The 23,825-nt window shown below is 49.9% G+C and overlaps 1 protein-coding gene across 18 annotated transcripts in view, besides 1 other annotated feature; it reads right to left on the bottom strand.

Moving 5' to 3' along the window:
• The window catches only part of BCORL1 (BCL6 corepressor like 1), a 77,759-nt gene extending 53,958 nt beyond the window's left edge, over positions 1 to 23,801 (bottom strand). For 3 of the 18 annotated variants that reach the window (NM_001379451.1, NM_021946.5, NM_001441332.1), the window contains exon 1: positions 21,352 to 21,479. The gene's annotated coding sequence lies outside the window, so the exon portion shown is untranslated. Of the gene's footprint in view, positions 1 to 6,176; positions 6,245 to 9,580; positions 10,075 to 19,684; positions 19,729 to 21,223; positions 21,480 to 22,330; positions 22,442 to 22,780; positions 23,136 to 23,725 lie in introns of those variants that run through there. The other 15 variants (NM_001184772.3, NM_001441329.1, NM_001441326.1 and 12 more) reach the window with 12 other exon arrangements.
• Positions 20,414 to 20,650: a silencer, noted in NCBI's record as "fragment chrX:129117440-129117676 (GRCh37/hg19 assembly coordinates)". NCBI's record gives its function as "represses an EF-1alpha promoter that drives an FKBP-Casp9 reporter gene in an ReSE screen in HepG2 liver carcinoma cells {active_cell/tissue: HepG2}" and the evidence as "EXISTENCE:reporter gene assay evidence [ECO:0000049][PMID:32094911]".

Here is a 23,825-nt window from a genome sequence, read left to right as displayed (position 1 = left end):
TGAGGCACCAAGAAAAACCTTTATCCAATGAGCTTGCCTTGAGACCCTTAAGCTCTTGAGTTAGCTTATTAGCTAAAATCCTTATTCATTGAAGTTCAACTGAACAGAACCCTACAGTGATCAGAATTGAATGCTGTTCTCCACTTTCCAAAGTAAATCACAATAAGATATAGTTGTACGAGGGATTTGTTTCATGTATCCATTTTTCAATTTTCAGAGATTGTCCACTTTCAACACAGTATCACAATTTATTGCATTCCTACTATGAGCCAGCACCATCCTAGGTACTGAGGATTCAGCAATTAACGAAACAGAACAAAATGCCTGCCCGTGTGGAGCTTACATCCCAGGGGGATGACATGGACAATAAACATGTTGAATACTTCTATGTCATAGCATGTTAAATAGTTCTATGTCACGGCATGTTAGAAGATAGTACAACAGGCCAGGTGCAGTGGCTCATGCCTGTAATCCCAGCACTTTGGGAGGCCGAGGCAGGTGGATCACCTGAGTTCGGGAGTCCAAGACCAGCCTGACCAACATGGAGAAACCCTGTCTCTACTAAAAACACAAAATTAGCCACCGTGGTAGCACATGCCTGTAATCCCAGATACTCAGGAGGCTAAGGCAGGAGAATTGCTTGAACCCAGGAGGCAGAGGTTGCGGCGAGCTGATACCATGCCATTGCACTCCAACCTGGGCAACAAGAGTGAAACTCTGTCTCAAAAAAAAAAAAAAAGAAGAAGAAGAAGAAGAAGAAGGAGGAGGAGGAGGAGATAATACAACACAGACTAAGGGGCAAGGGCACAGTCTAGGTGGGGAGGGCTACTATCTGAAATACGGTGAACAGGATAGGCCTTGCTGTAAAGGAGACATTTAAACCATCGGAATGAGGTAAAGGAGTAGCCACGTGGATATTTGGGAGAAAAGCATTCCAGGCTGAGGGAACAGTGCATGAGAAAGTCCTAAGGCAGGAGGTTGCCCACAAAGATCAAGGGAGAGCCAGGAGACCAGTGTGGAGGTGGTAGGAGAAGAGAGGAGAGAGGCATCCACCCTGCCTGGGCTTCATCCTCCTCCTCATCTCTGCAGAGTGGGATACGTTGCCCTCTTTATTCTCTCCCTTCTCTTGTCTTTCCTGATCCACTGCCTGATGGCTTCTCCGGGGCCCTTCTCTTCCACTGCCCACCCCAAAGACTTGGGCATTCACTGGGGCCTGGCCTTTCCCTTGATCTCTGTCTCTCTTCACCTCTGCCACCCTCTCCCATTTCCTCCCCTTCCTATCTTTCAAGGCTTCTTCCCTCTTTCTCATCCCCCTACCCATCTCTCTCTCTTTACTCTTCCTCCTCCTCACCTTTCTCTCCCCTATTATTTTCCCAGCTGTTCACCTCTTGCCTTTCTCCTCTCTCTCACACACACACACAATCCCCTCTCCTCCAACTTTCTCCCCGTTCCCACCTCTCTCCTTCCCTGTCTTTTTCTTGCTTATCTCACCTTCCCCATTTCCCTCAGTCTCCCATTCATTCTCTCCTCCCTCTCCCCCTCCTTCCCCTTCTCCCTCCCCTGTGCCTCCCCCTCCCCTCTACTCTTTGGCCTTCAGTCTCCCTCTTCCGGTCCCTCCCCGGTCTCCCTCTGTCTCTTTTCCTCCTAGTCTGCCTTTTGCTGGCTCTCTCTGGCTTCCCCCACCCATCTCTCTCCCTCTGTGCCAGTTGTCAGCCCTGCCCCACCTTCTCTCTCAGCTCATGAGCTTCCACAGTTTCAGCTCGCCCCTTGATGCACTGATGACTCCCAAATCTGTATCTCTAGCCTTGACCTCTCTCCTTAGGCCCAGACCAGAATTTCCAGCTGCCAGCAACTTGCTGTTAATTGGATGACCACCAAGCCCCTCAAACTCAATGTGTCTCAAACCATACTCATTATCTGTTCTCATAAACCTGCTCCCCACCCCCTATGCCCAGTAAGCAGCGTGTTTCCTAGCTTACTTAACGGCACTACCGTCCCCTAGCCTGGAAATTTCCGCCTTGTCATCTTCAACTCCTTCTCTCCCCTGCCGCCCATATTCGATCAGAAGTCAGGCCTTAATAATGCCATCTCCAGCCTTGCCTTCTACCCTTCTTGCCACTACCCTGGTGCAGGCCCTCATCAGCTCTCACCCAGAATATTATAATCACCTCTTAACTGCTCCCTCTGCCTTCAATTTCTTGATTCTACAATCAATTCATCTTCTAAAGCGCCAGTTCGATCATGTCACTCCTTCCCTCCTCAAAAGCTTTCAATAGCTTTCCCCGGCCTCTAGCACCCAGCCAGCCATTCTCAGCACTGCCTTCAGGGCCCTCATGACCTGGCCTCAAACCTCCTCTCCAGCCTCCTCTTCCACCACATCCTGCCATTTCCCCACCACTCTCACCACCCCCAGCTCCCAACCCTTCCTAAACACACCATCCAGTTTCAGGACTCTTCTGCCTCCTCACCCTGAAATGGCCTCTCCTGCTTCCCCCTCTTCCTCTCCCTGTCTTCTCTCAAGACTCAGCTTAAATGTCATCATGTCATCCCCCTAGCCCCAGCCCGAGTTCAGTTAACCCCTCCCTCTCTGGTTGTCCTCAAGTATTTACTCCCTACCTCTTCCACAGCACTGGTTCTTATTCTCCTCTCTAGCTTGGTTAGTTGGGGACAAGGCATGTTTGTCTCCCCCACCAATCAGCTACCTAAGGTAAGAAATAGCGTCCTTGGCCAGCCACGGTGGCTCACACCTGTAATCCCAGCACTTCGGGAGGCCAAGGTGGGCAGATCACCTGAGGTCAGGAGTTTGAGATCAGCATAGCCAACATGGGGAAACCCCATCTCTATTAAAATACCAAATTAGCCGGGCATGGTGGCACATGCCTATAATCCCAGCTACTTGGGAGGCTGAGGCAGGAGAATTGCTTGAACCTGGGAGGCGGAGGTTGAGGTGAGCCAAGATCGCACCATTGCACTCCAGCCTGGGCAACAAGGGTGGAACTCCATCTCAAAAACAAAAAAAAGAAAAAGAAAAAAAAAGCATCCTTTTTTGTCTTTGTTTCCTCCACGACACCTTACGTATAGTAACTACTCAGTAAATGCATGTTATATGGAACTGAATTCTGGATAAGAACTGAAGTGACGGCCCTGAGAAATCACAAGAAGCAAAATCAACAGCCACCCCCCGACACACACACACACACACACACACACACACACAAAGCATCCACCATGTTTGCTTACTACAGAAAAACCTTTGTACTCCAATGAAAAAACTATGCACTGTCTATAGCATAACCTTCTGGGCTATCTGATTTTAGCTCAGGTTATTGTCTTCAAGCTATTTTGCATCTCTGTAATTGCAGGTAACTGATGTATATGCGAAGTCTGTCTTGTCCCATTGAGTTTGGATTGTCTTTCCTCCCCACTGTAGAAAAACTACTTTTGCCTCCATTTGCAATTTATTTCCTTTACTCCATATAAATTTGTGCTTTTTGACTTTTTGTTTGAACCAGCTATAACATCTGTCTGGTTCTCTTGTTGATTAATGAGTAAAATAAAATCTTTAACACGTGTTCATTTTTGTATCTGTACGAGAGTCATGATTTTTTACCTTTTTTCTGACAATTATCTTTTAACATTATGAAGACAGTTATGTGGGTTAGCATAATTTTAGAAATATTTTTAACAAGGACCCCGTTCCCTGAACATCCTGGTTAATCAAGTTTTGACTGTTTCTCAGAATATCTTGGAATATCCCCATTTTAACCAACAACACTGGTTGGGCACAGTGGCTCACACCTGTAATCCCAGAACTTTGGGAGGTTGAGCTGGGAGGATTGCTTGAGTCCAGGAGTTCAAGACCAGCCTGGGCAACATGGCGAAACCCCATCTCTACAAAAAATTAGCCGGGCATGGTGGCGGGTGCCTGTATTCCCAGCTACTTGGGAGGCTGAGGTGGGAGGATCACCTGAGCCTAGGAGGTCAAGGCTGCAGTGAGCTGAGATTGTGCCACTGCATTCCAGCCTGGGCGACAGCAAAATCCTGTCTAAAACAAAAACAAAAACAAAACCAGCTCAGCCTATTGGCTGATACCCCAGGTACTCATTTCATCTTTTCTCTCTACTAAGCATTAGAGGACTCGGCCAGGCATGGTGGCTCACACCTGTAATCCCAGCACTTTGGGAGGCCGAGACGGGTGGATCACCTGAGGTCAGGAGTTCGAGACCAGCCTGGCCAACATGGTGAAACCCCATCTCTACTAAAAATACAAAAAATAGCCGAGCGTGGTGGCAGGCACCTGTAATCTCAGCTACTCGGAGGCTGATGCAGGAAAATTGCTTGAACCCGGGAGGCAGAGGTTGCAGTGAGCCAAGATCGCACCACTGCACTCCAGCCTAGGCGACAGTTAAGACTCTGTCTGGGGGGGGGGAAAAAGAATTAGAGGACTCAAGCAATGGAAGGGGCTGTTCTTGCCATAAAATGCATTTCAGGCCCAGAGCAGTGGCCTGTAATCCCACTGTAATCACGCCTGTAATCCCAGCACCTTGGGAGGCCAAGGCAGGTGGATCACTTGAGCTCAGGAGTTCAAGATCAGCCTGGGCAACATGGCAAAGCCCCATGTCTACAAAATACAAAAAAATAGCCGTGTGTGGCTGTGCAAACCTGTGGTCCCTGCTACTTGGGAAGCTGAGGTGGGAGAACTGCTTGAGCCCGGGAGGCAGAGGTTGCAGTGAGCCGAGATGGCGCCACTGCACTCCAGCCTGGGCAACAGAGGGAGACCCTATCTCAAAAAAAAAAAAAAAAAAAAAAAAAAAAAGATGTGTTTCAACACAAAGTACAAGTTTTAGTTGCTACTAAATATCTATAGGCAGCAGGTATTAGTGACACTAGATTTTTCACTCTCAGGTTTCGTATTGCTCTATTTAGAGAGGATTAGGATTAGTAGTATGTAGGGTCTGGGACAGAAATCAGAGGGGGAACACTGGCATTTGGAAACAGAACATCATACAACATCACCTAGATAAAGAGCTTTCAGGCAAAAAAAAAAAAAAAACCACAAAAAATAAAACCGAGTTAAAATATCAAAATAATTACTATATAATACACATGTTATGACCACGTAGAGAGCAACGCTGATTCTGGATAACTCCATTTTCACAAGATCCTCAAGATGGAGCATCCACTTAAATCTTTGCCTCTCAATTTTCTATCATGATTTTGTCCCAGGAGCGCCACTTCCTATCTGAAGCCCACTGTTGCTAATTAACAGTAGCCTCTGCAGATGAGAGGAGAGGAGGGGAGGGATAAAACACAGGCAGGAGAACACTGACACTGAGCTACATGGTCTATACAAGAAGGCAAGATTGGTCTTCCCCAGCCAGAGGGAAAGCAAAGGGAACCTCTAAAGCGGCCCTAGAGAACAGACTCCTGACTGCGTGAATGCTCACAGAAGGGAGGAGTCAGGACGGTCAATGTCAACCAATGTTTCCCCAGCCAGAATCACCGAGGAGCTTGTTCAAAATACAGATTCCTAGGTCTCAGTCCTGGAGATTCTGATTCAGTAGGCCTAGGGGTTTGTTTTATTATATTATAGCCAATCAAATTAGTATCCCAGGAGAGGTGAGCAAAAAGGAAAAGCCTTGCAGGCATGCCACACTTCGTAAGCGCTGCTGGTTTACACACTTGTATGCTGGCTTGCTTTTGCTTGAAGCACCGGTACTCATGTGTTCTCCCTTCCCACCTCCCCCCACCACCCCGCCTACTCTCCCTCTCTCTGATGGAAATCATCACATCAAAAGCAAAGTTCCAAAAAGGAACTTGGAAGAAACCTGGTAATCCCAAATGACCCAGGAAGCACAGGCACAAGGATATGAAATACCTCAAAGGATTTTCCCAGATGTCACAACCATGTAATTGTTAAAGAAATGAACAGCTGCATGGCCCAAGAATCAACCCTGGTCACTGCCTGGAAGGCAGAGGAACCACTGTGAGCTATCCCTACTTTGGGGGAAAAAACTCAAAAGATATATCCAACTCATGGTGAGGACAAAGGAGAGCACGTGCTCTGCCAATCCAAAGCCATAAGTGTGGCTGGGAAAAAAAAATACATATATATATATATATATATGTAAAACTTCAATTTAGGAGGCACATGCACAGAGAAGTAAAAGGCCTACCCAAGATCCCAGGAAATGAATCCAACAGGTGGGCAGCCAAGAGTAGGTAGCCAGAGACAATCACCACACTACAGAACAGGGGAAACCAAAAAGAAAAGGAACTAATGAGAGAGCAATAACTTTTTTTTTTTTTTTTTTTTTTTGGTGAGTCGGAGTCTCGCTCTGTCACCAAGGCTGGAGTGCAATGGCGCGATGTTGGCTCACTGCAACCTCCGCCTCCTGGGTTCAAGCGATTCTCCTGTCTCAGCCTCCTGAGTAGCTGGGATTACAGGCATGGGCCACCATGCCCGGCTAATTTTTGTATTTTTAGTAGAGACGGGGTTTCACCATGTTGGCCAGGCTCGTCTCGAACTCCTGACCTTCCGATCCGCCCACCTTGGCTTCCAAAAGTACTGGGATTACAGGAGTGAGCCACCGTGCCTGGCCGCAATAACTTTAAAATGGTGAAAAATAGCAGCTAAGCTGAGGGCGAGCGGGTAGTGGAAGAGAAACCATAATGAAGCAGAGATCTTTAAAACAATCCAAATAGAACACACTAGAAGACAAGGGCAGGTGTGATAGGCATAAAAGAAAAGCCCATCGCATGCAATAACCAAAAGGAAAAAAAATGAAATAGGGGAACCTGAAATATTTCACCATCATGGGCCAAACTGAAACACTGTGGGGAAGCACTGAAGACAGACATTTTAGAAAAGTTTAGAGAGAATGTGTTCTCAAAAGGGGAAGAATAACATCAAATTATAGCCTATGTCGGGGCTGGGGGAGTTAGTAATAGAGGATAGGCAGCACCAAAATCTCAAAGGAGATTTTACAGGTGGGATAGGATTTTTTTGTTTCGTTTTGAAATGAAGATGCCAAAACATGCAGATTTCACAACAATTACAAGCAAAAGCATGGTTGTCATCATGCATATGAGGAAGAGAAGGACATTAAAGGAGGTAACAGAGAAAGCATCTATCTGACAAATGTTTTTGACTGAGGTAGGCACTGTTTACGAGGTTTTTAACCTTAAAAAGGACCAGGCCAGGCATGGGCTCATGTCCATAACCCCAGCACTTTAGGAGGCTGAGGCAGGAGGACTGCTTGAGCCCAGGAGTTTGAGACCAGCCTGGGCAACATAGTGAGACCTCGTCTCTATAAAAAATAAAAAAATAGCTGGGTGTGATGGTGCACACCTGTGGTCCCAGCTACTCAGGAGGCTGTGGCAGAAGGGATCCTTCGAGCCCAGGATGTCAAGCCCACAGTGAGCTAAGATCACGCCACCGTACTCTAGCCTGGGTGACAAAGAGAGATCCTGTCTCAAAAAATAAATAAATAAAAGAAAATGATCAGGATGTTCATGCAGCTGACAAGTACTTCAGGATCATGTAGTTCCCTTTGTGGCTGAAGACCCCTTAAGTGCAGAACACTCAACTTATGGAACACAACTCGGTCTTCTACACATAGCATGAAACCTACCCATTTATTCATGCTTGGACTCTACCATCAAGACAGTAAACTAGAAACCCAAGCTTAAGAAGCTCTCAGTTAAACGAAATGTAGTCCTGCTCCCCCAGGCTCCTTTTGGTTCATACTGCCTGGTGACCTGGAAGCAATTATGACTTTAAAAAATGAAAGAGCCGGAAAATATTCATCTTGAAGCCTGGCCCTGAATCTGTCCTCTAGAGGATAGGCGTGGCCAGCAGACAGTTTAAGGAGGAGGGCTGGGTCAGTGATGACTAATAAGTAAGGAAAACCAACTTTGGGACCTACTCCTCCAATAGAGACCCAGAGCTCTTGGTAAAGCTCCCATAAGACAGAGGCAAACTTTACAGCAGCAAAAGGAGAGGCCACCTCATCATTCCACTTGGGAAAAAACAGCATCTAAGACACCCCTGAGGAGATCTAAGAGACCACTGACACTGAGATCTCAGGGCTAAAGGGAAAAGGCCATGACTTCTGCCCAGAAGTCTTTTAGAGTGAAGGCAAATCTGCTCATTGTTTTCCATAGGAAAATGTACACACACCCAGCAAGGACAACTTTACCCGGCTTTAGATGTGGAACTCCTACTACAGAGCTTGCCCTCCTGATTACTCTGCCTTCTTCCATGTGTATTCAACAGAATGTGTTAGGAGACTAACATTCCTGTTTTCCCTACTTCATTACATACCACAACCCCTGCCCCCAATGAGGAAGTTACCCCAATTTAAACCGTTCTGGCCGGGTGTAGTGGCTCAGGCCTGTAATCCCAGCATTTTGAGAGGCAGAGGCAGGTGGATCACTAGAGGTCTGGAGTTCAAGACCAGCCTGGCCAACATGCCGAAACCCCATCTCTACTAAAAATACAAAATTAGCTGGGCATGGTGGTGTGCGCCTGTAATCCCAGCTACTCGGGAGGCTGAGGCAGGGGAATCACTTGAACCTGGGAGGCAAAGGTTGCAGTGAGCCAAGATGAGGCCACTACACTCCAGCCTGGGTGACAGAGCTAGACTCCGTGTCAAAAAATAAAAATAAAAATAAACTTATTTAATGATCTAATACATATAAGGGTATTCGAAAATTCTCCTCAATCTTTACCCCCAATATCTATATTCCCTCATCTTTCCCTACCATTAACCAAATATTCCCTGAAACTCAAGAGTCCCATAGAGAGGCCAGACGTGGTGGCTCATGCCTGTAATCCCAGCACTTTGGGAGGCCAAGGTAGGTGGATAACTTGAGGTCAGGAGTTCGAGACCATCCTGGTCCACATGGTGAAACCCCATCTCTACTAAAAATACAAAAATTAGTCAGGCCTAGTGGTGGGCACCTGTAATCCCAGCTACTCAGGAGGCCGAGGCAGGAGAATCGCTTGAACCTGGGAGGCAGAAGTTGCAGTGAGCCAAGATCATGCCACTGCAGTCTAGCCTGAGCAACAGAGCGAGACTCTGTCTTGGAAAAAAAAAAAAGAAGTCCCATAGACATGCCCCCAAACACTTTACTTTGCTTCTCTTCATGCCAAGTTGGTTCCTCTACTACTGCACACACAAAATCAACTAGAAATAATCTGCCAGGCAATTTAAAGGAGAAAGAACAGCCCTTTCTGCTGTTCATCCCAAACTTCTGCCTGACTAAAAATCTATTCTAACACTTTCTACTTCCCCTGGATTTTTTTTTTCCTATCCAAATATTTCCACTGATATCTACCCCAAGGGATCAGTCTTATAAGGCATATTGTATCTTTTGCCCAGATACATTAATTCTGGTATTTAGTGGGAAGGCTAGGTAGTTGCCGGCATATAGGTCTAGCATGGACCCCTTCATAGACTCTTTGGGTACTTCCATGTCTAAAACCTTACCTATAAACATTTATGAGACTGGATACAAAGGAATGTTAACTGCTGTTAAACACATGAGCGTTTATCATTCAAATGAATGTAGTTACCCCAAAGTAGTCGCCTCAGGAGGCTGGACAGTCATCTCAGCCGAGCGGCCAGGGCTTGCAATCTCCCTGGAGTTCCTCTGTGAGCGTTAGCATCCAGACCAATACTACGTCCTTTTCACTCTCCTCATTAGTGCTGGAACCCATCCTTTCAGGGTCGATCTGATGTTTAGGAACATCCAAAATCCATTCAGAACAATCTACTCAAACAGCAGCAATATTAAACAGAACCATCTAATCAAGTAATGCCTTGAAAAGTGATATACTCTAGCACCCATAGCCTACACTGCGGTGGGAAAACTTGGAGAACACTCCCAGTCCCCACTTCTCAGCCATCTCAGACTATCTCTCTATGTCCATTTACCATGTCACCTGCAAAATGGGAATAAACTACTAGTCCCTACTAAAAATTTGGAATAACATGAAAGCACTTAGAAAAGGACCATAGACTGGCCGGACATGGTGGCTCACGCCTGTAATCCCAGCACTTTGGGAAGCCAAGGCAGGCGATCACCTGAGGTCAGGAGTTCAAGACCAGCCTGGCCAACATGGTGAAACCCTGTCTCCACTAAAAACACAAAAAATTAGCTGGGCATGGTGGGGGGGCATCTGTAATCCCAGCTACTCGGGAGGCTGAGGCAGCAGAATCGCTTGGACCTGGGGGGTCAGAGCTGAGATTGTGCCATTGCACACCAACCTGAGCTACAAAAGCAAGACTCTATCTCAAAAAAATAAATAAATAAAATAAAAATTAAAAAATAAAAAAAAGGACCATACGTAATCTATTCCAAGAATGAAGTAGTCAAATGCAAAAGCTTTAATCTTTTGCTTACATTTTATTTCTTTCTTTGAGACGGGTCTTGCTCTGTAACCCAGGCTGGAGTACAATCGCATGATCATAGCTCACTGCAACCTTGACCTCCCAGGCTCAAGCAATCCTCCTACCTCAGCCTCTCAAGCAGCTGGGACCACAGGTGTGCACCACCATACCTGGCTAATTTAAAATTTTTTTCAGTACAGTCAGGGTCTCCCTATGTTGCCTAGGCTGGTCTCAAACTCCTGGCCTCAAGCAGTCCTCCTGCCTTTGCCTCCCAAAGTGCTGAGATTATAGGCGTGAGCCAGCGTGCCTGGCCTCACTTACATTTTCATACCGCCAGATTCTTTTTGCTTTCTACCCATTGCTATGATACTTTTTTCTTATTATTCAAACAGTACTCACTTCCATTTCCTGCTGTAAGAAAATTACTTTACTCCATTTAACAAAAACACCTCATCATAGCTTTATAATAAACCTCGGCTCTAGCTACAAGATTTTATACAACTTCTAGATGTCACGCAAAACTTAAGTGATCATTGTGAAATTAATCAGTCCTTTCAAAAGGCAAAGCAACCTCAAAATGTCACCCTAAATATCTAGGGTCATTTTTTGAGTACTTCTAATTTCCGCTAGAACAAAAACACAAATTGGCTTCCCTCAATCTTGGTCTTCAGCAGGACCATATAAATATTTAGTGTGTTTTTCACACTCTAAACTTGAATCATTGTAATATGAGACATTCTGAATCCCTTTTGAGATGCTTCTGGGTCCTGCCTGCCATAGACTGTGACAGTGGCCCTCTGGTGTCTCCATTTCAGTATACTATATTCATGATACGCAATTTTTCACCTAAAGACAATTCCTAGCTGGGCGCACTGGCTCACACCTGTAATCCCAACACTGAGAGGCCGAGGCAGACAGATCACTTAAGCCCAGGAGTTCCAGACCAGCCTTGGCAACATGGTGAAACCCCGTCTCTACAAAAAATACAAAAATTAGCCAGTCTCATAACCCGGTCTCTAAATATATATATATGGTTTTAAAAAAGACAATTCTTCCTCACCCAACTTTTGCTTTTATAAAAGTCTCCTGGACTACATAACACAAATATTTGGAGAGACCATTATCAGGTTATTCTTTCTATTTTCTCACAACAGAACAGACTCAGCTATGGGTTCAACTAATTTTATATATATTATTCATTCAAAGGTGTATCTATACAGCTTTCATTAAACAGTATTAGCTCAAAGAGTTTGTTGTTGTTATTTTAAGACTGGGTCTCAACTCTGTCACCTGGGCTGAAGTGCACTGGCACAATCACAGCTCACTGTAGCGGCACTCCCGGGCTCAAGTGGCCCTCCCACCTCAGCTTCCCAAGTAGCTGGGACTATAGACACATGCCACCACACCTGGCGCCACCAAGCCCAGGTAATTTTTGTATTATTTTGTAGAGACAGGGTCTCGCTACATTGCCCAGGCTGGTCTTGAACTCCTAGGCTCAAGTGATCTGCTAGCCTCGGCCTCCCAAAGTGGTGGGATTATAGGCGTGACGACTGTGCCTGGCCCAAAAATTATTTTAAAAATCAGCTGTGCCTGGTGGTATGGGCCTGTGGTCCTAGCTACTTGGGAGGATGAAGTGGGAAGATCACTTGAGCTCGGGAGGTCGAAGCTGCAGTGAGCTGAGTTTGCACCACTCTACTTCAGCGTGGGCAATAGAGCAAGACTCCATCTCAGAAACAAAAATAAAAATAAAAAGCGCCAGGCACGGTGGCTCACGCCTGTAATCCCAGCACTTTGGGAGGCCGAGGTGGATGGATCACGAGGTCAGGGGTTCGAGACCAACCTGACCAACATGGTGAAACCCCGTCTCTACTAAAAATACAAAAAAAAAAAAATTAGCTGGGCATGGTGGCGGGCGCCTGCAATCCCAGCTACTCAGGAGGCTGAGGCAGGAGAATTGCTTGAACCCGGGAGATGGAGGTTGCAGTGAGCCGAGATCGCACCACTGCACTCCAGCCTGGGCAGCAGAGCAAGACTCTGTCTCAAAAAAAAAAAAAAAAAAAAAAAAGAATATTTTCTGCCGGGCACAGTGGCTCACACCTGTAATCCCAGCACTTTGGGAAGTTAAGACAGGAGGAATGCTGGAGCTCAGGAGTTTAAGAACAGCCTGGGCAACACAGGGAGACCCTGCCTCTACTAAAAATAAAAATAAAAACAATTGTCCGGGCATGGTGGCCTGTCCCAGCTACTCAGGAGGCTGAGGCAACAGAGCCAGACCCTGTCTCAAAAATAAATAAATAGACTAGGCGCAGTGGCTCACACCTGTAATCCCAACACTTTGGGAGGCCAAGGCAGCCGGATCACTTGAGGTCAGGAGTTCGAGACCAGCCAGGCCAACATGGCAAAACCCCATCTCTACTAGAAAAAATACAAAAATCAGCCAGGCGTGGTGGTGGGTGCCTATAATCCCAGCTACTCAGAAGGCTGAGGCAGGAGAATCACTTGAAACAAGGAGAAGGAGGTTGCAGTGAGCCAAGATTGCATCACTGCACTCCAGCCTGGGCAACAAGAACGAAACTCTATCTCAAAAAATAAATAAATAATATAAATACAAAAATTAGCCAGGCATGGTGGCTCACACCTATAGTCCCAGCTACACGGGAGGCTGAGGCAGAAGAATCGCTTGAACCCAGGAGGCGGAGGTTGCAGTAAGCCGAGATCACGCCACTGCACTCTAACCTGGGCAACAGAGTGAGGCTCGGTTTCAAATAAATCAATCAATAAATAAACAAATAAATTAATTAATTAAATAAACACAACAGCCCTTTTCAGAAAGCAATGGTTTTTAAAAATGTCACCCATGGCCCGAAATGTTCCCTAGAGTTTCAACTGGATATACACTCCTCAGTTCCTGTCCTGAACTATTGAGCAGTGTTACAGCATAGCTGTTAAAGAAGCCGCCACTTCCACCTCAAAGGTAGATGCAGTGATGAGTCAAGCTTTCTTCCTAGCATGTTGTAAATGCCAAATGTGTACTAATACAACAGGAATATGAAGAAAGAGGACAGAGAATCAAGATATAAGGGGACCACTGAGAAGCTGTTGATAGTTTTCATGCTGCCACCATGTTTACTATAACATAATAGGATACAATTGAACAAGAAAAATTAGATAATAATATAATAATAGGGCCGGGCACAGTGGCTCATGCCTGTAATCCCAGCACTTTGGGAGGCCAAGGCGGGCGGATCACGAGGTGAGGAGATTGAGACCATCCTGGCTAACACAGTGAAACCCCGTCTCTACTAAAAATACAAAAAATTAGCCGGGCACGGTGGTGGGCGCCTGTAGTCCCAGCTACTCAGGAGGCTGAGGCAGGAGGATGGCGTGAATCCAGGAGGCAGAGCTTGCAGTGAGCCGAGATAGCGCCACTGCACTCCAGCCTGGGCAAAAGAGCGAGACTCCATCTCAAAAAAGAAAAAGAAAAAAATATATATATAAAATAATAGGTCCCATTTATTGAGCACCTACTATGGGCCTGGGATGATTTTGTGTAATCCTCACAGCCCTGTGAAATTGGTATTATCATCTCCATTGTATAGATGAGAAAACTGAGGCTCAACAAAGTTAAGTGGGCCGGGCATGGTGGCCCATGCCTGTAATCCCAGCACTTTGGGAGGCTGAGGTGGAAGGATCACCTGAGGTCAGGAGTTCGAGACCAGCCTGGCCAACATGGCAAAACCCCATCTCTACTAAAAATACAAAAATTAGCTGGACGTGGTGCTGGGCGCTTGTAATCCCAGCTACTCGAGAGGCTGAGGCACGAGAATCGCTTGAAGCCGGGAGGTGGAGGTTGCAGTGAGCCAAGATAGCACCACTGCACTTCAGCCTGGGTGACAGAGCAAGACTCTGTCTAAAAACAAAAAAAAAAGAAACAAAGAGAGTTAAGTGAAGACCTGGCACGGTGGCTCATGCCTGTAATCCCAACATGTTGGGAGGTTGAGGTGGGCAGATCACTTCAGGTCAGGAGTTCAAGACCAGCCTGGTCAACATGGTGAAACCCCGTCTCTACTAAAAATACAGAAGTTAGCCAGGCATGGTGGTGGGCACGTTTAATCCCAGCTACTCAGGAGGCTGAGGTGGGAGAATAGCTTGAACCCAGGAGACGGAGGTTGCAGTGAGCCGAGATCACACCACTGTACTCCAGCCTGGGCAACAGAGCTAGACTGTCTCCGGTTAAAAAAAAAAAAAAAAAAAAAAAAAAAAAAAAAAAAAGACGGGTGCGGTGGCTCACGCCTGTAATCCCAGCACTTTGGGAGGCCAAGATGGGCAGATCACAAGCTCAGGAGATTGAGACCATCCTGGCTAACACGGTGAAACCCCGTCTCTACTAAAAAAAAAAAAAAAAAAAAAAAAATTAGCCGGGCATGGTGGCGGGCGCCTGTAGTCCCAGCTACTTGCGAGGCTGAGGCAGGAGAATGGCTTGAACCCGGGCAGCGGAGCTTGCAGTGAGCCGAGATCATGCCACTACACTCCAGCCTGGGTGACAGAGTGAGACTCTGTCAAAAAAAAGAACGAAAGTAAGTTAAGTGACTTGCCTCCTGCCACATAGCTAAGAAGTAGAACAGCAAGCACTCTAACCTGAGGTTGTCGGTCTCCAAAGCCCCCCCAGGCAATTCTGAGGAGCTCAAGTTTGAGAACCACTGTACTATACTAACTGGGGTGTGGTACAACCAAGTTAAACTGAGTAAAGCCTCATTATCAGAAGATAATCATCTCATGGATTCAGGTATACAGTGCATCAACTCACCTCTGCGATCATAGTCATATACGGTGCACTTCTCCACAAAACTTGGAAAAGCAAAAATCTGCTTGTTCTCCTTGTCCCTGGACATCAGCATTATAACAAAACTCAACAGTACCCTTAAATGGCACTAACACTATGATTTCTAGGCATACCTTAGTAATGAGGTAACCAAATTTTGTTTCTCAGCAGACCCACGGTAAAGAAGCCCAAAACACAAAGCTTTCCCTGCTCCTTGGTACTCTGGATTCCTCACGGACCTTCAGCTTAAGGTTTTCTTAAAATACAAATGAAGAGGTATCCTGCCTCACATACTGTGATGAGTAAATCTGAAAATTACCACATTTTACAAATAATATATCAGCTGTATTCAAATTCATCATAATTCATTGACCAGGGAAAATATGACCTTGACATGCAGCCTGCAGTTACTCAGTTACTTTTTTTTTTTAAAAAAAAGATCCTTTTTTATGTTTTATGGGGAAAAGGTCACTTCTGCTTAGAATAAAAAAGAAAACTAGAACAGCATATTTGAATTACGGGGATAGAAACACAGAGTTAAATTTTACTCTTGACCAGAATGAAACTTCAGTTCGCCAAAGAAAGTTCTCATCATAAAAGATTGCTTTTAAGTTATGAACAGTGGGAAAGGGAATGATTTAATTTAGAAAAAGAACCATTTCTACATTATTTTAAGGATAACCATTCAAAAATGGGCATTAATAAAGCCTAGTTCATATGTAAAATTATATCAAATACTGTACTAGCATCCTAGTGGCCGAAAAGTAGATATTACCTCCCTCTTTGGCCATCCTGACACTAAACACTCTGGCAACCATGGACTCACACCTAATTCAAACTCCAGCATTAAGAAACTTCCCTTCTCTTTGAAAACTCAAAGGCCTAGGGTCTTCCCTCTGGGTTATGTAATCATCAGTGGCTTCTACCTTTTCCTATTCTACCCCAACAATTGTGTCACTTTCTCCAGCACCCTCTCTGTTCCACTCCGGTGTTCACTTTCCCACCCAAACTTGACCTCGAATTTCTTCACTCTGATTCTGATGCTGATTGGCCCTGAAGAACAGCTCTCTACTCTCTTTGGCTGTTCTATTTCATCCCAAGCTTAGCTCAGCCCAGAATCAATGAATTACTCCATGTGGCCTCCAGTCCAAGCCCTGATTAGAGCCTCTCTTCCATGCCCCTAACCCCACCCTCCAATTCTGGCCCACAGGCTCTCATGTCACTCAGTTTTTTATCCAGTTTCACCCTGGAATTTCCATCACTCATCTCCTGATACCTAGGATCCTTCCCACCTGCAGACTGGAAACACTGGTGGATTCCCACTTTTTCCTTCTTTCAAGGCCACTCTATTTAGGACAGTGAATCCCTCCCCCCATTCAGTATCCTTACTTTAGTCTAGATTTTCTAATTAATGTTTAGATGTGTAAGGCCTGGATCCCAGCTAACCTCTGCTTCCTGGGCCCTCTCAGGGCAGTGGCTATCAAAGGCAAGATTTTCCGCTCCCTAACACCGGCTCCAAAAGATATCTGAGTAAATATCTTCCTCCTTTGGCTCTTAATTCCTCTCTTTTTCTCTCACATTCTGCATTTTAACCTGTATATAATCTCTAAGTTCCCTATTTCCTTATGGATAAATATGCTTGTATTTCTCTCTAAATGCCAGTTTCTCCCCCACCCTACTTTTACCCCATATATTCCTTCTCTCTTGCCCCAACCTTAGTGATTCCAGCATGAAATTGTAAAGAGCTTTAAGAGTTCTTCAAAGTTTACTTTGGAAAACATTGTCCTAGAGATTTCAAGGTTTGACTTTTTCCTTAGCTGGCCCTTACATGGGACCAGTGATGATCACCTTTCTTTTCCTTTCATTGCTCAACCAGCCCTCTTCCTGACTTCTCTTTCTTGCCTTCCTTCCCTCTAGTGTCCAAGTCCTTTTTTCCCATAATTCTGTTTCTCTCAAAGAAGCCCTTCCCTACAACCCATAATCCAACCAATAGTGTCCTGAGATCCTCCACTCCCTGTACTGAACATTTTTTTCTTTTTTCTTTTTTTGTTTTTTTGTTTTTTTGTTTTTGTTTTTGAGATGGACTCTCGCTCTGTTGCCCAGGCTGGAGTGCAGTGGCACGATCTTGGCACACTGCAACCTCCACCTCCCAGGTTCAAGCAATTCTTGTGCCTCCACCTCCCAAGTAGCTAGGATTACAGGCACGCCCCACCACACCTGGCTAATTTTTGTGATTTTAGTAGAAACGGGGTTTCACCATGTTGGCCAGGCTGGTCTTGAACTCCTGACCTCAAGTGATCTGCCTGCCTTGGCCTCCCAAACTGCTGGGGTTACAGGAGTGAGCCACTGCACCCGGCCCATTTTTTTCTATTTCATGAACTGCATCATAAATGAAGCAGAGCCCTGTGGAGGACCCCTCTTTTCTTCCCAAGAATGTCTATGTCACTGAGAAAGGGATCCTCCCTCTTTATCTACGCTTTCCTGGCAAATCAAAATAGCCAGACCCACATGAGTGTTTTTGGTGCAGCCATCATGTCTTGTGGAACTCCCTCCACTCTGCCCTATGCAGACTCCAGCAGCAGAGCTTGCCAGGGCCTTAGCTTTTCTCTGCCCTATGCCAACGATTTGTTTTGCTGTCCCTTCCTTATTGGCCTTTTCTAAAAATTTGCTGTCCCTTCCTTATTGGCCTATTCTAAAAAAATTTTTTAAAAATCCTCCTGAACTCAGACAAGGGAGAGGTGAAACCCCTCTCCTTCCTCATCAATGACTTACAGCCAGGACAAAAATAAACTGGGCCGGATGGATCACCTGAGGTCAGGAGTTCAAGACCAGCCTGGCCAACATGGCGAAACCCTGTCTCTACTAAAAATACAAAAAATTAGCCAGGCGTGGTGGCGGGCACCTGCAGTCCCAGCTACTCTGGAGGGTAAGGCAGGAGAATCACCGGAACCCAGGAGGCGGAGGTTACAGTGAGCTGAGATTGTAGCACTGCACTCCAGCCTGGGCGACTGAGACTCCATCTAAAAAAAAAAAAGAAAAGAAAAGAAACCTAACCACCCTTGTTGCAAAGCTGGTATCAGGATCAGCCCTCTTAAGGTCAATTTTAGTCAGGATCTGTGCCCCAAGGCCTGTACCTTTCATCCCTCACATCTGCCCCAAGGGCAGTTGCCTAAGTTGCCCTGTCAAAAGATGTCCGCCTAACAACATCCTCATGACTTAGTCAAGATGGCCACATCCCTAAACTCTACTATCAACCTTCAGATTCTCTTAACTTGACTCACCAAGCCCCTTGCTCTTCCCAGCTACCTCAATCTTTGCTACTAACTTTTCGCCTCCATCGAAATTTTACAGGCTCCTCCCCAGCCTTTTGCTTCTATTTGGAGCCCCGGGATGATTCTTAAAATTAGGTTATCCCATTTAATCCCCAGTGGAATCCCCCAAATTTCTCTCCTACATACTGTCATCTTTAGTACCACATGGTGACATCACCATTCAATTAAAGTACCCTAAACTGTGCACCAGACATCCTCCACTGTGCCATCTACCATCTTCCCCAAAATAAAGCTCCCTCAATTCCAACATTCAAGGACAGGACATATCAACAGAAAAGTAAATAACCTTAAAACTCCCTTCCAACCTTGAAATTTTATAATCAACCTAATCCACTCCCAACCCCAAATGCAATCCACATTTATTTTCCCATGTAACTCAACGGCGTGCTTTTGAGAAAGAGCCTTCTAAGTTGAAAGAACCACAGGGCTAACCACTGTAACGCTAACCTACAACTCATCTCCAGAAGTCTTACTGAAGATTTTTGCAATTGTACTCCACCTCTGTACCACAGGGACGACCTCCAAACTGCCTTAACAGTAGTCAAGCTGTGGCACAAAGTTACCGGGCCCCCTTCCCACACTAACGTAAAGAGCCTCTAAACCCTGGGCTAGATGCTTGCTCGCCAAAGGATGCCTGTCTTTACTGTCTACTCCAGGAGACACCAAGAATGAATATCACCCCATCGACAGTTTCGATCAGCCAACATTGAAAATTTCAAAACAATAAAACAAAAACATAGTGCTTCCACTCAGGGAGGGAGGAGGTGCGAGCGGAATAGAAGGGCACCCCCACGGGCCTGTGCTGTTGGCCTCCCGGGTTTGCAGTGTTTCCCTCCCACCTTTCCCCTCGACCACGTCTTTCCCTACAACAATCTCCCGCACCTCCATAACGCGAAATCCCCAGCCGAGGTGCGGCCGGCTCCTCCCAGCCTTGCCCCGGACGTCCCTCTGGCCCAGCCTTCCTCTCGGCGGGACCCCGGCGAGGAGGGCCCCCTCCACCGACCAGTTCACCTCCCTATCCCTTCCCCGGCCTCTTGGCGCCCCTGCAGGGCTCTGTCCCGAAACCGAACCTCGAGGAGCCAAGCCCACGAGGCCAGTCGCGGGACCCACACCCCCCTTCCTTCTCCCAGCACCTCGTCCTCCATGCACCCGGCCCCCGGGGCTCCTCGTCGTCGTCGTCCCGGCTCGTACCGCCCCCCGTCGGGGGCTCCACCCCCCCGCCTGCCCCCGCCCCCAGGACGGCCCCCTCCCCACCGCGCGCCGCCTGCGCCCTCTGCCCCGGCACGGGACTCTCTTTGGCCTCCGTTCCCCGCCCAGAAGCGGCGGCGGCGGCGGCGGCAACGGCTGCGGCGGCCCCAGCAGGAGCAGCAGCGGCGGCGGCGGCAGCGGCGGCGGCAGCAGCGCCGCCCCCGGCCCCGCCCCGCCGCCCGCCGGAGCCCCACGCCCCGCCCGCCCGCCCCGCCGCCGGACTGCTCCCCCCGAAGCCCACCACTAAGCCCTCCCACTCCCCGGCCGCGATCCGCTCGAATCCAGCTCCGCTGGGCCTGCTGTCCGTCCCTCACGCCCCTTAGGACCCGGGGTGGGGGAGCCCTGGGGTTCGCGGCCATCCCTCTCCCTCCTTCTCCAAGGGCCGGGGGATTGCCCCTGATCCCGAAACCCGGCCCCGTAACCGGAGCCTCCCTCCTTCCAGCCCTCGGCTTCGCTCGCCGACCCCTTGCCTCCAGGCCTGGCGCGAAGCGGGTGGAGGGCTTGCACGCCGGATCTCCCCTCTGGCTTGCCGGTGCTAGTATGAATTGCCCCCGATCTCATCTTCCTTCAATTTAAGCCCCCTCCCCGCCGCGCCCGGCCCGGCGGCCCCCGCCCCTAGAGCGAGGGCAGCGGAGCCAGGGCGCTCCGAAGTCATCCCCCGCCTTTTTTCCAGGGACTCGGATAATTGCCCCTGCCCCCATCACAGCACTCCCACTCCCGAACCCAGGCCCCGCCGCCACCTAGGGGTACCCCTTACCCTACGATTCCCGCACCCCAGCGCCGGGAAGAAAGCAGCCCTGAAGAGCACCCGTCGCACCTCCCCTCTGAGGTTGGAGGGCATTTTCTCCCGGTCTCTTCAACACTTCATCACGGACACCCCCCCCCCCCAAAAAAAAGCCTTTTCTCGCCCTGCCCTGCTAGCCAGCCTCCCTTCGGATCGTCGGATCCTTGGATCGGGGGTTGGAGTCAGGTAGTTAACAAGACCATAGCCTCCACCTCCCTTTCCGAGGAGTGGGGTAATTCCTATGGTTTCCCCCCCAGGATCAACCGACCCCCGTTTCCATGGAGACCCCCGCCCAGCCGGGAAGAAGACTCTCTTGGATCGTGGCGAACGAGTCTCACCTGGCTAAGAGAGAAGGGGGTCGAGAAGGGGGTAGGGCAAGTCAGGGGATGGGGTACGAAGGTGGGAAGTGGAAGGGAGCTGTCCCGAAGGGAGGGGCGAAGACATACCCAGCTCCAGGGAGCGCTACGTCCGGGGACACGAAGAGGACGGCGCCCCCGGGGGGCAAGCCGAGCGGCCGCAGGGAAAAGAAGGAACAGGGTTGGAGAAAGGCTTAAGATAGAAAGAAGCGGGTGGGGGGATACGAAAAAGCCGGGGAGTCAAAAGGGGTGGAGGGATTGGGGGAGAGAGAAAAAAGACGCACCTGTTCCCGGGTCGGCTCCGCGGGGAGGCTCAGGCCGCCACCCGGGCTCCCTCTTACTCCCTCTTAACCGCCACCCGCCTAATACTGCCCCGATCTGATGCCCCCCTCCGCCCCTTATCGCCACCGACCTCCTTCTCCTCTCTCTCGGCGGCGGCGGCGGTCGGACTCTAGGAACTGAGAGGAAGAAGGGAGGGCTCAGCAAAGCGGAGGAGAGACAGAGCCACACACTGGCAGCAGCCGCGGCGAGCGAAAGAGTGAGGGGGAGAGCGGTGTGTGTGTGTGTCTGTGTGCGAGCGAAGCCTGGTGGAGTGGGTGCCGGTCGCAGGGCTCGACGGGAAGTGGAGTCCGGCTGGGTCCGCGGGCGGCGCCAACCCCCGCTCCACCGGACTACAACTCCCAGAATGCGGCCTACGCGGGTGGGGGGGAATGGGGAGGAGGAGGCGAAGGGAGGGAGCGAGCAAGAGAGGGAGGGACGAAAGCAGGGAGCAAGCGGCGGCGAAGGGGGCAGAGCCAAGCAGCCCCGGTGACACTGGGAGGGGAGGAGAGGAGGAGGGGATCGCTGAGAGGACCGAGCGGATTCCGGAGAGGGAGGCAGCAGTGGCTGCAGCAAGCCGGGCAAAAAGCTAGACTCCTGGGAGAGGCGGAGGCGCTCAATCTGCGGGGCTGCAGGAGCCCCACGTCCCCCCCCACCTCGACGCCCCTCGAAGGGGGAGGTTGAGGAAGGGAGAGGGTCAGTGAGCCGCGGCCAAAGGGTTCTCTCTCTTTCTTCCAACGTTCTCCACCTTATGCCCCGACCTGACTTTCTCAGGCCACTGGTGCCGATCCAGTGTGCAAATCTCGAGACCCCAGATCTCCTCTGCCGGGCAGCGGAGAACAGACGCATTCAGTCCCCTTCTCCCAGGGGCCTGAGGGAGGCTCCCCTTGCAGGCAGGGCGTGACTCCCCCTTCTTCCCGCTCCCCCCCCCACCGTCGTCGCCACCCCCCCATCTCCCTCCCCGGAACCCCTCCCCTGAAGCCGGGGCTCGCCTCTCTCTCTCCCCGCCAAGACACGGAGTCCTTCTGGGGACGACTACCCAGCCCCCTCCCTTATACTGGGCCCCTACCCACCAGTATCCCCTTCTTAGCGTTGCCCCCTCACCGAAATAATGGTGGGGGCGACCCGAGTTGGACTGGTGGCTACTTTCCCTCCAAGGCTAGCCGTCCTTCGCCACGCCGACCCTGTGTAGAAATAGAGAAGCATATTAATACTCCCGTCCCCCCTCCCCCCCAGATTTGAATACCCGTGGAAGTGGCTCACAAGAAAGAGGGGTTGGTAGTGGAAGTGAGCTAGGGGTGAATCCCAATCTTCAAACCTCATCCCTCCCATGGAAATCCAGGTATTCGCCTTTTGCTTAAAAGCCATTAAATCGCTTGGGTGGGGGGTAAATTATCTAAACCCCAATGTCCATGCGACTCGAAGCGACGCTACCTTGTAGGAATAAGATACGAACTAGGTTGCCGCCACGGGAAGGAAAGTATCCCCCACCCCCGTCGCCGTCCACCCCCAAAAACACATACCCCTAGGAGAGTCAGATGGCTGAAGAAGGGGGAAGGCGGTGGGAGTGCTGGAGAGTAAAAGGACTGTGGCGGGGAGGGTCCGCGGCCCCCACTACGAGAGCAGAATCCAGATGCTAAGAGGTGGGTGGGGGGTGCGGCACAATCGCAGACTGTGTCTTTCCTCGCTTTTCCCGGAATCGCCGCCCGATCACCGTCTAACACTCGGAGTTGCTTACCACTCAGTCCCCTAGCCCCATTTGTGCGCGTGAGGCGGCCAGAGCCCGGGAAGCCCGGGCACAAACTCCGCGGAAGCTGGCCTTCGCTGCCGCCGCGCCGCCGCGGGCCTCCCTCCCTCCGCTCGCGGCCCCGCCGATCTACCTTCGCCCCCGGCCGAGGCCAGACCCCGCTCACAACTCCACGCCCCTACTCCACCCCCGGCTCTCCCTCCCCTCGCCCTCTCCCTGCGGGTCCGGCCCAGCCCCTAGCGCCGCCCCGCCCTACCGCTCGGTCCAGAGCCCAGCAAGTGCCCCGAACTCGCCCCCCGCCCCCACGCCCAGGCCAGTCTGGCCAGGCCTGGTTTCCCCCTCCCGCCGCGCCCCGCCCCCGAATCCACGTCCTACTTCGCCACCCAACTCGGCCCGGTCGGGGTTCGGCCCGCGCCCACGCCACCGGAGTCCCCGATTCGGTCCGGTGTACGGCCACCCACCCCGCCCTTGCCTGGGTGCTGGCCTGGCCCGCTGCCTGCGCCCGCCGAGCCGGCCCAAGCGCGCGGTCCGGGTCCGGGTCCAGGTGCCGGCCTCGGTCCCGGCAGTGTTGCCGCGACTCGCCACGCGGGCTCGTTCCACGCAAGATCGGAACCCACGCGGGGTGGGGGCCGCGGGAAGCAAGTTTCTTTATCCTCCCCCCGCCCCCGCCGCAGGGCCGCACCGTTCCCCCACCACCCCCGCCTCACGGCGCCCCCTTTACCTGGGCAGAGCCCCCGGCCGCTGTCGCAACTTTGCTCTTCTCCACGCCGCCGGGGAAGCGGGCGAAGCGGGAGGAGGGAGGTGGCGGGGGGTGCTGGGAT

The sequence above is a fragment of the Homo sapiens genome, chromosome X, assembly GCF_000001405.40.
Source record: "Homo sapiens chromosome X, GRCh38.p14 Primary Assembly".
NCBI lineage: Eukaryota > Metazoa > Chordata > Mammalia > Primates > Hominidae > Homo > Homo sapiens.
The sequence above is the reverse complement of the archived record's forward strand: the minus strand, read 5'-3'. Positions and strand labels throughout refer to the sequence as shown.